This window comes from Homo sapiens, chromosome 1 (assembly GCF_000001405.40).
Source record: "Homo sapiens chromosome 1, GRCh38.p14 Primary Assembly".
In the NCBI taxonomy this organism is placed as follows: Eukaryota; Metazoa; Chordata; class Mammalia; order Primates; family Hominidae; genus Homo; species Homo sapiens.
Window position 1 is genome coordinate 11,663,763 of NC_000001.11, and position 10,674 is coordinate 11,674,436.

The 10,674-nt window shown below is 55.5% G+C and overlaps 1 protein-coding gene across 5 annotated transcripts, besides 5 other annotated features; it reads left to right on the forward strand.

Moving 5' to 3' along the window:
* FBXO6 (F-box protein 6) lies at window positions 438-10,592 on the forward strand. Of its 5 annotated transcripts, none has more exons than XM_005263448.6 (6): window positions 438-661; window positions 4,894-5,182; window positions 7,504-7,630; window positions 8,166-8,261; window positions 9,515-9,650; window positions 9,853-10,592. In XM_005263448.6, the coding sequence occupies exons 2-6, from the start codon at window positions 4,897-4,899 to the stop codon at window positions 10,087-10,089; spliced, it is 882 nt and encodes a 293-aa protein (XP_005263505.1). In that variant the 5' UTR covers window positions 438-661; window positions 4,894-4,896; the 3' UTR covers window positions 10,090-10,592. The 5 variants fall into 5 exon arrangements, with proteins under 5 accessions (XP_005263505.1, NP_060908.1, XP_005263508.1 ...); NM_018438.6 differs by having other exon boundaries at window positions 438-493; XM_005263451.6 differs by lacking the exon at window positions 438-661 and adding an exon at window positions 873-973.
* Window positions 504-723: a silencer, noted in NCBI's record as "silent region_268". NCBI's record gives its function as "represses an Ori minimal core promoter by ATAC-STARR-seq in GM12878 lymphoblastoid cells {active_cell/tissue: GM12878}" and the evidence as "EXISTENCE:reporter gene assay evidence [ECO:0000049][PMID:35858748]".
* Window positions 774-843: a silencer, noted in NCBI's record as "silent region_269". NCBI's record gives its function as "represses an Ori minimal core promoter by ATAC-STARR-seq in GM12878 lymphoblastoid cells {active_cell/tissue: GM12878}" and the evidence as "EXISTENCE:reporter gene assay evidence [ECO:0000049][PMID:35858748]".
* Window positions 964-1,013: an enhancer, noted in NCBI's record as "active region_168". NCBI's record gives its function as "activates an Ori minimal core promoter by ATAC-STARR-seq in GM12878 lymphoblastoid cells {active_cell/tissue: GM12878}" and the evidence as "EXISTENCE:reporter gene assay evidence [ECO:0000049][PMID:35858748]".
* Window positions 3,736-3,795: an enhancer, noted in NCBI's record as "active region_169". NCBI's record gives its function as "activates an Ori minimal core promoter by ATAC-STARR-seq in GM12878 lymphoblastoid cells {active_cell/tissue: GM12878}" and the evidence as "EXISTENCE:reporter gene assay evidence [ECO:0000049][PMID:35858748]".
* Window positions 3,826-3,975: an enhancer, noted in NCBI's record as "active region_170". NCBI's record gives its function as "activates an Ori minimal core promoter by ATAC-STARR-seq in GM12878 lymphoblastoid cells {active_cell/tissue: GM12878}" and the evidence as "EXISTENCE:reporter gene assay evidence [ECO:0000049][PMID:35858748]".

A 10,674-nucleotide genomic window follows, 5' to 3' on the forward strand; every position in this document is an offset into this window, starting at 1 on the left:
CTCCCACCTCAGCCTCCGGAGGAGCTGGGATTATAGACCTGTGCCACCACGCCCGGCTAATTTTTGTATATTTAGTAGAGACAGGGTTTTTGCCATGTTGGCCAGGCTGGTCTCGAACTCCTGACCTCAAGCGATCCTCCCCACCTCGGCCTCCCAAAGTGCTGGGATCACAGGCGTTAGCCACCTCCTAGCACCTCAGGTTTTTTACCTTTGAGTCTATGAAGCCTGCGGAGGTCACGCCCTAGGGAAAGAAGGAGCCCACTGGGTGTCAGGTCCTGCCTCTAGGGAGGGGACCGCGGGTCAAGGGTGGAGCCCTGGGCCGCATAAGGAAGGAACTAGTGCGGAGGTCCGGGGAGCGGCCGCGCGTTCGGGAGCTTCGGCCCTGCGTAGGAGGCGGGTGCAGGTGTGGGTGCTGAGCCGCCCGCCGCCTGGAGGGGGAGACAGCTTCAGGACACGCAGGCCGCAGCGAGGGCCCGGGCCCTGGGGATCCCAGGTTCGTCTTCCCGCGGCGAGGGTTAGGGGCCGGGCCGAGAGGGACGGCAGCGGGGTCCGGGGCGGGGGTGGGGACCGAGCGCAGCGCGTGACGCGGCGGCGGGGCCCAGCGACAACGAAGCCGAGGCCGTAGGCTCGGGCCGACCTGGAGCTCCGCCGCTGCGCCCAGGTCGCGTCCCCGGGGGGACGGGCGGCGGGCGAGTGGGGAGCCGGGGTCTCCGGCGCCTGGGCGTTCACGGAGCCTGCGGGCGCTGGTCCGGGCGGCCAGGGGTGGGGGGCGCGGGCGGCTGGGCCCGGACTTCGACTGGGGGCCTGGCCCCGGGGCCACCCAGGCGGAGGCTCTGCGGCCGCCTCCACCCCGGCCACATCCCGAGGCCGGCGCCGGGTTCGGAGAACTGTCAAGGGACCTCCAGGCCCCCACACGCCTGCGAGATCCGGCGCTTGCCTTGCCCCAGCCACAGTTTCTGTTTCCGAGAAACCGGTGAAGTAACAATGCCACTAGAGCTTGCTGGGAGGGTGGGTGCGGAGAAGGCGAGCACGAGACGCCGGGCCGGGCAGTTGGGGACCCCGATCGGTGTGAGAGGGCTTCCTAGGGCTGGCATGGACTTCCCCACCACAAAATGCCCAGGGCCGGGGGGGGGAAGGGGCGCAAGAAAATGCGGACTGGGCCAGAGACCAGACTTCGGTCACCACGGTGGGAAGCTATTGGTGCCTAGATGCCTCTAGCTTGGAGCCCAGTGACTTTTATTTCGTCTAGAGTCTAGACAGTGCCTTTAGAAGCTGCCAGCATTTATTTATTTATTTATTTATGGCAGAGTCTTGCTCTGTCACCCAGGCTGGAGTGCAGTGGCATGATCACGGCTCACTGCAGCCTCGACTTCCTGGGCTCAAGCGTTCCTCCTGCCTCAGCCTCCTGCATAGCTGGGACTACAGGCACGGGCCACCAGGCCTAGCTAATTTCTTTTTTTTTTTTTTTTTTTTTTTTTTTGAGACGGAGTGTCGCTCTGTCGCCCAGGCTGGAGTGCAGTGGCGCGATCTCAGCTCACTGCAAGCTCCGCCTCCCGGGTTCAGGCCGTCCTCCTGCCTCAGCCTCCCGAGTAGCTGGGACTACAGGCACCTGCTTCTCGAGTAGCTGGGACTACAGGCACCTGCAACCAAGCCCGGCTAATTTTTTGTATTTTTAGTAGAGATGGAGTTTCACTGTGTTAGCCAGGACGGTCTCGATCTCCTAACCTCGTGATCCGCCCACCTCGGCCTCCCAAAGTGCTGGGATTACAGGCGTGAGCCACCGCGCCCGGCCTTTTTTTTTTTTTTTTTTTTTTTTGAGACAGATTCTCACTCTGTTGCCCAGGCTGGAGTGCAGTGGCACGATCTCGGCTCACTGCAACCTCCGCTTCCCGGGTTCAGGTGATTCTCCTGCCTCACCCTCCCGAGTAGCTGGGACTACAGGCGTCCGCCACCACGCCCAGCTAATTTTTGTATTTTTAGTAGAGACGGGGTTTCGCCATATTGGCCAGGCTGGTCTCGAACTCCTGATCTTGTGATCCGCCCGCCTCGGCCTACCGAAGTGCTGGGAATACAGGCCTGAGTCTGTGCACCCGACCTAATTTCTTTTTTTCTAGAGACAGAGTCTCACTATGTTGCCTAGACTACAAGCATTTTTAATTGACAACTTTTACATTTTTTTTCAAATGCTTACAGTTGCTTCTCAGAACTTAGAAGACTTGGCCACATTGGGTTTTTTTGTTATTTTTTTTTTCCATCAAAGCATTTTTCTTTTCTCTTTTTTTTTTTTTTTTTTTTTGAGACAGTTTTGCTCTGTTGCCCAGGCTGGAGTGCCATGGAGCAATCATGGCTCACTCTGCTCCAGCAGGCTCCTTCTTTCCCTAGAGTGTGACCTCGGCAGGCCTCATGGACTGTAAGGTAGAAAAATCTGAGGGGCTGGGTTCGGTGGCTCACACCTGTGAGCTACTGCAGCCTTGACCTCCTGGGCTCAGAAGATCCTGACGCCATAACCTCCCAAGTAGCTAGGACCATAGGCACTCGCCACTATGCCCGGCGAATTTTTTCACTATTTATAGAGACGGGGCCTCCCTGTGTTGCCAAGGTTGCAAAGCCTTTTTTCTTTTCTTTTTTTTTTTTTTTGAGACGGTGCCTTGTACTGTCACCCAGGCTGGAGTGCAGTGGTGCAATCTCGGCTCACCACAACCTCCGCCTCCCAGGTTCACACGATTCTCCTGCCTCAGCCTCCTGAGTAGCTGAGATTACAGGTGCACACCACCACGCCTGGCTAATTTTTTTGTATTTTTAGTAGAGATGGGGTTTCACTGTGTTGGCCAGGCTGGTCTCGAACTTCTGACCTTGTGATCCGCACCCCTCGGCCTCCCAAAGGGCTGGGGTTACAGGCTTGAGCCACCGCACCCGGCCTGCAAAGCATTTTTCACGAGGCACAAGTACCTCACCTGTTTTCTCTGCCATGTAAAGTGTTCCTCCCTGGGCAGAAGTGAGCATGCACCCACCCTCCTGTTTTCTGAGATGGGAGCCTTCAGAAGACCATGAACTGCTGCTTTGGCCAAGCCTCTATGGAAAATCAGAAGAGGCCACAGCAAAAGGCTGGGTACAGTGGCTCACACCTGTAATCCCAGACTTCAGGAGGCTGAGGCGGGTGGATCACCTGAGGTCAGGAGTTCAAAACCAGCCTGGCCAACATGGTGAAACCCTGTCTCTACTAAAAATACAAAAATTAGCTGGGTGTGGTGGCGGGCACCTGTAATCACAGTTACTTGAGAGGCTGAGGCTGGAGAATTGCTTGAACCCAGGAGGTGGAGATTGCAGTGAGCCGAGATCACGCCATTGCACTCCAGCCTGGGCAACAAGAGTGAAACTGTCTCGGGGTGGGGGGGAAGAAAAAAAAAAAGAGGCCAGCAAGGTTCTGTTTCCCTGCTTGTAGGTGGAGAACATTCTCTCCTCATGTGTAAGCAGATGAGGCCCACCTGAGTGACAGTGCAGAGCCCTGGCTGCCGGCCAACCCCCACCTACCTGGGGCAAGTACCTGGGATCCCCTTAAGAGGACTAACCAGGTGCCCCCAGGTAACAGATTCAGGCCAGGGCTGTGGCACTGCTTGAAGTTTTCCAGAACCCGTGCGCAGTGCAGAGGTACAAGGAGGACAGTGTTGAGAGCCGGTTTGTGCTGACAGCAATGCTGACTGAAGCTCTGTGCTTCACTTGGTCCTCCTGGCCCTTCCAGGGTCGGGACAGTTACCCCCTCCTTTTCACAGCTTCCCAACTGGTCACTGCAGACCAGGATTCAAACCCAGGCAGTCTTCTCAGCCACCCTCCATCTGATTTTTTTTTTCCGGCCATCTCCAAGTGGATTCTGGCCTGACACCAAAGACAGCTCAGCCGGGTGCCGTGGGGGATTCCCATGGGGTTGTTTTATCACATGTGACTTCCAGGCCAAAGTAAGCTTCTGGAGATAGGAAGGTGGTTTCTCAGCGCTAGCTCACCACTAAATGAACATTAATGAGTCTGGGATGTAAAACTGATTTTATATTCTGGCCGGGTACGGTGGCTCACGCCTGTAATCCCAGCACTTTGGGAGGCCGAGGTGGGCGGATCATGGGGTCAGGAGATTGAGACCATCCTGGCTAACACGATGAAACCCCGTCTCTACTAAAAATACAGAAAATTAGCTGGGTATGGTGGCATGCGCCTATAGTCCCAACTACTCGGGAGGCTGAGGCAGGAGAATCGCTTGAACCCAGGAGGCGGAGGTTGCAGTGAGCCGAGATTGCACCACTGCACTCCAGCCTGGGTGACAGAGCAAGACTCTGTCTCAAAAAAAAAAAAAAAAAGATTTTATATTCTAACAGTGAATCCAGAGCATTAAAATAACAATCACCAAAACCCTCACAGAACTTTGCAGACAAGTGTGGCCTCCACAAAATCTTACAGTCCACACAACCCACTGGCTTTAAAATTAAGCAATTTTTTTTAAATTGGGGAGGGGCCTTTTAAAAAATGTGTCTCTAAAGACTTTACTATTTGTATTGCACTCTTCTGAATGTGTGTCCCATGACTACTCTTTCCACTGAGGGGCTACTGTTTACTGGAAGGACCCTCAGCCTCAGAAATGCTCTTTTGTGGGTTTTTTTTTTTTTTTAGCCAGAGTCTTGCTTGGTTGCCCGGGCAGGGGTGCAGTGGCGCGATCATAGGTCACTGTAGCCTTGAATTCCCAGGCTCAAGGGATCCTCTGCCTCAGCCTCCCAAGTACCTGGGACTCCAGGCATGTGCCACCACACCTGGCTAATGCAGGGTTGGAGAGGAGTCCCTGGCCTGGTTCCCTGGGGACCTGAGGGCCCACCTCCCTGGTCAGGCTCATAACTGCTGTTGCCCCCACAGGCCATGGATGCTCCCCACTCCAAAGCAGCCCTGGACAGCATTAACGAGCTGCCCGAGAACATCCTGCTGGAGCTGTTCACGCACGTGCCCGCCCGCCAGCTGCTGCTGAACTGCCGCCTGGTCTGCAGCCTCTGGCGGGACCTCATCGACCTCATGACCCTCTGGAAACGCAAGTGCCTGCGAGAGGGCTTCATCACCAAGGACTGGGACCAGCCCGTGGCCGACTGGAAAATCTTCTACTTCCTACGGAGCCTGCATAGGAACCTCCTGCGCAACCCGTGTGCTGAAGGTGGCATGGGGGCAGGGTGGAGGCTGCCACCAGGCTCGTTCCTTCTCATCCTTGGGCCTTGGCACTTGCAATTCCCACACTACCTGGAATATTCTCTAACCCTAAACACCCACCTCACTTCCTTGGTTCCTTCTCATTCTTCAGGTCTCAGTTCAGAGACCTGCCCTGTGCTCCCAATCTAAAAACAGCCCTCTCCACCTCTAGCATAGCACCCCCATTTCATGCCCTGTAACACTTTTCACAAGGCGCGGTGGCTCACGCCTGTAATCCCGGCACTTTGGGAGGCCGAGATGGGCGGATCACCTGAGCTCAGGAGTTAGAGACCAGCCTGGTCAAAATGGCAAAGCCCTGTCTCTACTAAAAACACACAAAGTTGGGCATGCTGGCCCACGCCTACAATTCCCAGCTACTTGGGAGGCTGAGGCAGGAGAATCACTTGAACCTGGGAGGCAGAGGTTGCGGTGAGCCGAGATGGCTCCATTGCACTCCAGCCTGGGTGACAAGAGTGAAACTTTTAGTCTCAAAAAAAAAAAAAAAATTTTTTTTTCAGAATTTCCTTATTTTTTTCTGCTACAAACTTCAAGCTCCAGGGGCCAAATGGACCTTGTTTGCCACACTATAGCATCCACAGTGACACCTTCACATATACACACACACACATATGTATACATATACGTATATACACATGTATACATATATACACGTGTATACATATACACATGTATATATGTACACATATATACGTATATATACATATGTATACATATATGTGTATACATATATACATATACATACACACACACACACACACACACACAAGTAGTTGGGATTACAGGCGCCCACCACCATGCCCAGCTAATTTTTGTACTTTTAGTAGAGATGAGGTTTTGCCATGTTGGCCAGGCTGGTCTCGAATTCCTGACCTCAGGTGATCTGCCTGCCTCGGCCTCCCAAAGTGCTGGGATTACAGGCGTGAGCCACCACACCGCCGGGGGCGGTGGCTCACGCCTGTAATCCCAACACTTTGGGAGGCTGAGGCGGGCGGATGACGAGGTCAGGAGATCGAGACCATCCTGGCCAACAAGGTGAAACCCCATCTCTACTAAAAATGTAAAAAAATTAGCTGGGCGTGGTGGCAGGCACCTGTAGTCCCAGCTACTTGGGAGGCTGAGGCAGGAGAATAGCGTGAACCTGGGAGGCGGAGCTTGCAGTGAGCCAAGATTGCGCCACTGCACTCCAGCCTGGGCAACAGAGCAAGACTCCGTCTCAAAAAAAAAAAAAAAAGTGCCCTGGTGATTGCCTGGGCAGCGCCAGTAGAGAAGCGCCATTGTCTTCTAAGGTCCTCTAAGTTCAGTGTGAAGAGGGTGATTGCTCCCCTGCACCCACCAGGCCCACCTAATGGAGGCCCACCCATGAATGTTACCACAGCGCCCAGCCCAAAGGGTACCTGTTCTTCCACTTGGCACTCTTGCCCTGGGCAGAGGCCATCTGAGCCCTATGGGAATCTTGGTTCCCATGACCCACCGACAAACCCACAAACCCATCCTCTAGGGCCTCCAACCTGGGTTATGTAGTTAACCAAGGGCCTCTCCCTCCTGGACATCTGGGATGCCATCTGGGTCAAGTAAGCAGTCTGTGTTGGGATGAACACGTTAGCCTTTTTTAAAAAATTATTTTACTTATTAAAAAAAAAAGGGGGGGGGGGTGTCGCTATGTTCCCCAGGCTGGTCTTGAACTCCTGGGTTCAAGCAATCCACCTGCCTTGGCCTCCCAAAGTGCTGGGATTACAGGCGCAAGCCACCGTGCCCGGCTTCACATTAGTCTTTGAGGACAGTACTCTCACAGGCCTCTCGTAATTTTTTGAGAACTGATACTTGGGTATTTCCCAGAGTTCCACCGCAACATGGAAGTGAGGAAGGGGTTGGTTTAGAATTTCTGGTAACACGCATTCTTTTCTCCAGCTGCGTGTTAGGAGTGAGGCCAGTTTGGGACTGAGTGGGAGGGACAGAGTCAGATCAGAGCTGATATGGTGAGGACAGTTGGGAATGTGTTGGAGGGGTGCTTTGTAGGGGTGCTCCAAGGTGCAGTTGGGGTACACTTGGGCTGGTGGGGTACCTTGGCCACACAATGCCCTTGAGAAGGAACAAGCTGGTTAACCCTTTGGTGTCCACAGCCGCAGAGACCTGAGCATGAGCAAGTCCTGCCTCCCAAGAAGGTCACTAACGCCAACCACCCTCCCTCCCGCCCTCCTGGGACTAAGTGGGGAGGGCTGGACTTTGGATTTACACAGGGGGTCTCACCTTGGCTTCTGTTCTTCCTAGAGGATATGTTTGCATGGCAAATTGATTTCAATGGTGGGGACCGCTGGAAGGTGGAGAGCCTCCCTGGAGCCCACGGGACAGATTTTCCTGACCCCAAAGTCAAGAAGTATTTTGTCACATCCTACGAGTAAGGCAAACTGAACCTACCAGGCTTGCGTGGAGGGGACAGAGGGTCAGGACACCTTTGCCAAGTCTCAGGCAAAGTCTTCCTAAGGGAAGTCCTCTCTGCGAAGCTCGAGGGAGGTGGCCCCAAAACTTGCCCAGAGTCACTGCTTCCTGAAATCACTCAGTGCTGTGTTAATGGACAGTGGGGGTGGGGATCACTGAAGCAGGCCAGGAGTCCATTGGGCAGTTAAGATAAGCCAGGGCTATCTACAGGCATCTGTCCGTAAGCTAGGAACTTGAGTTTACAAAAGTGCCCTGGAACAATGGGCCTTTGGACTGGGATCAAATGCCGCCCAGGCACAAGTGGGTCAAACTCCCTCCTGCACTGGAGGAAAAGCCAGAGTCAGCCCCAGCCAGTGCCTGTCCCGCAGCGGCCAAGGGGTACCCTAGGTCCCCAAACCACCTCCCTGGGCTCACAGGGGCTGCCAAGGCCTGGGTGAGGGGGGGGGCCATGCAGAGCACACCCAGGTATGCAAGCCCCCAACTCTGCTCCCCAGAATGTGCCTCAAGTCCCAGCTGGTGGACCTTGTAGCCGAGGGCTACTGGGAGGAGCTACTAGACACATTCCGGCCGGACATCGTGGTTAAGGACTGGTGAGTAGGGTCCATGGCCTGTGTCCCCACACTCTACATGCTCCTCTTACTGCGCTGCATGTACGTGAGACAACCCATAGCAAGTGCCCACTCTGCACAGCAGTGCCCTGGAGCCAGGTAGCCCCGGCCTCCGCCCCTGCTCTGCACCCACACCCTGCGGCACCTCCTGGCCTCCCCACCACCCTGTGACGTAGTCAACAGGACACAGTAGCCCCAGTGTGCAGGTGAGGAGGCTGAGGCCCCCAGGTGCACTGTCATGGACAGGCACTTTTTTTTTTTTTGAGACGGAGTCTCGCTCTGTCACCCAGGCTGGAGTGCAGTGGCGTGATCTTGGCTCACTGCAACCTCCGCCTCCCATGTTCAAGCGATTCTCCTGCCTCAGCATCCTGAGTAGCTGGGATTACAGGTGCCCACCACTACACCCGGCTATTTTTTTTTATATTTTTAATACAGACAGCGTCTTACCATGCTGGTCAGGCTGGTTTCAAACTCCTGACCTCAAGTGATCCACCCACCTCGGCCTCCCAAAGTGCTGGGATTACAGGTGTGAGCCACTGTGCCCAGCCACTGTGCACTGACAGGCACTTGGGCAACAGAGGACCTCAGCCCTCTCTGGACTGGGTGGGAACCCCCAGGTCCCCTGACCTACCTGCCTCCCCTGCCCCTTTCCCTATTCATCCCATGACTCTTTTTGGAGCTCCTACTCTGTGCACAGAACTGTGCCAGGCTCTGGCTTGGCCGGTGGCAGAAGCAGGACCCCAGTTCTAGGCAGGCCCCAGGGCTGCCACTCTGAGGATAAAGCGGTGAGGATGGAGGGGTATGCAGAGCTGCAGGGGGGAGAGGTGGCTGGGCTGAGCAGAGGGTGAGCTTTGTGCCAGCCCCATTACACAGGCCACCCCCTTGACTCTCCCACTGAATCCACAGCCTGGTCCATTGTAAGTACAGGTGACATGGCTTGGACAGACCAGGCCTCTCTGGAGGGGTCTTTTGATTTTTGAGGTCATATCTTTAGTAGGATGCCCAAAAGGGTCCCTCTTCTCAGATGGGGTAACAGAGGCCAGCATGGACAGACAGCTTATCCCCGGGCCACAGTGGGGCATAGGGAGCGCTGAAGCCAGCTGGGCCTTGCAGGCAGAGCAGTGTCAGCTGATGGGAGATGAAGCTCCGAGCTCCAATGTATAGGTCCCACCTGCCCCCACCCCTGGGGCCAGCCCTCGGTGGCTTGGACACAGGGCTCTCAACCCCTCCACCAGGTTTGCTGCCAGAGCCGACTGTGGCTGCACCTACCAACTCAAAGTGCAGCTGGCCTCGGCTGACTACTTCGTGTTGGCCTCCTTCGAGCCCCCACCTGTGACCATCCAACAGTGGAACAATGCCACATGGACAGAGGTGAGGCCTCACCCACTTGCTCTCTCTACCCACTCCTCCCAGGGCCAGGATGGCAGGAAGCAAAGGGCAGCCTCAGGGCCCAGGGTGCCCCTGCTGGCCTGGAGCTGTTGCCTTCCAGCCTGGGCAGCTCTCTTAGAGGACCTGGCTCCTGCCTTCCCCTCCCCCGTCCCGGTGGTCACTTCCTCTCCCTTCCTCCCAACAGGTCTCCTACACCTTCTCAGACTACCCCCGGGGTGTCCGCTACATCCTCTTCCAGCATGGGGGCAGGGACACCCAGTACTGGGCAGGCTGGTATGGGCCCCGAGTCACCAACAGCAGCATTGTCGTCAGCCCCAAGATGACCAGGAACCAGGCCTCCTCCGAGGCTCAGCCTGGGCAGAAGCATGGACAGGAGGAGGCTGCCCAATCGCCCTACCGAGCTGTTGTCCAGATTTTCTGACAGCTGTCCATCCTGTGTCTGGGTCAGCCAGAGGTTCCTCCAGGCAGGAGCTGAGCATGGGGTGGGCAGTGAGGTCCCTGTACCAGCGACTCCTGCCCCGGTTCAACCCTACCAGCTTGTGGTAACTTACTGTCACATAGCTCTGACGTTTTGTTGTAATAAATGTTTTCAGGCCGGGCACTGTGGCTCACGCCTGTAATCCCAGCACTTTGGGAGACCGAGGCAGGTGGATCACGAGGTCAGGAGATAGAGACCATCCTGGCCAACACGGTGAAACCCTGTCTCTACTAAAAATACAAAAAATTAGCCGGGCGTGGTGGCGGGCGCCTGTAGTCCCAGCTACTCGGGAGGCTGATGCAGAAGAATGGCGTGAACCCGGAAGGCAGAGCTTGCAGTGAGCCGAGATCACGCCACTGCACTCCAGCCTGGGTGACAGAGCGAGACTCTGGCTCATAAAATAATAATAATAATAAATAAATAAAAAATAAATGTTTTCAGTAAAACCAGCCTGGGGTTGGTTTTAGGAGTGGGGAGAGGGGGTCCCTGGCATTTTGGTGGAGAAGCAGCCCCTCTCCCAGGTTACCC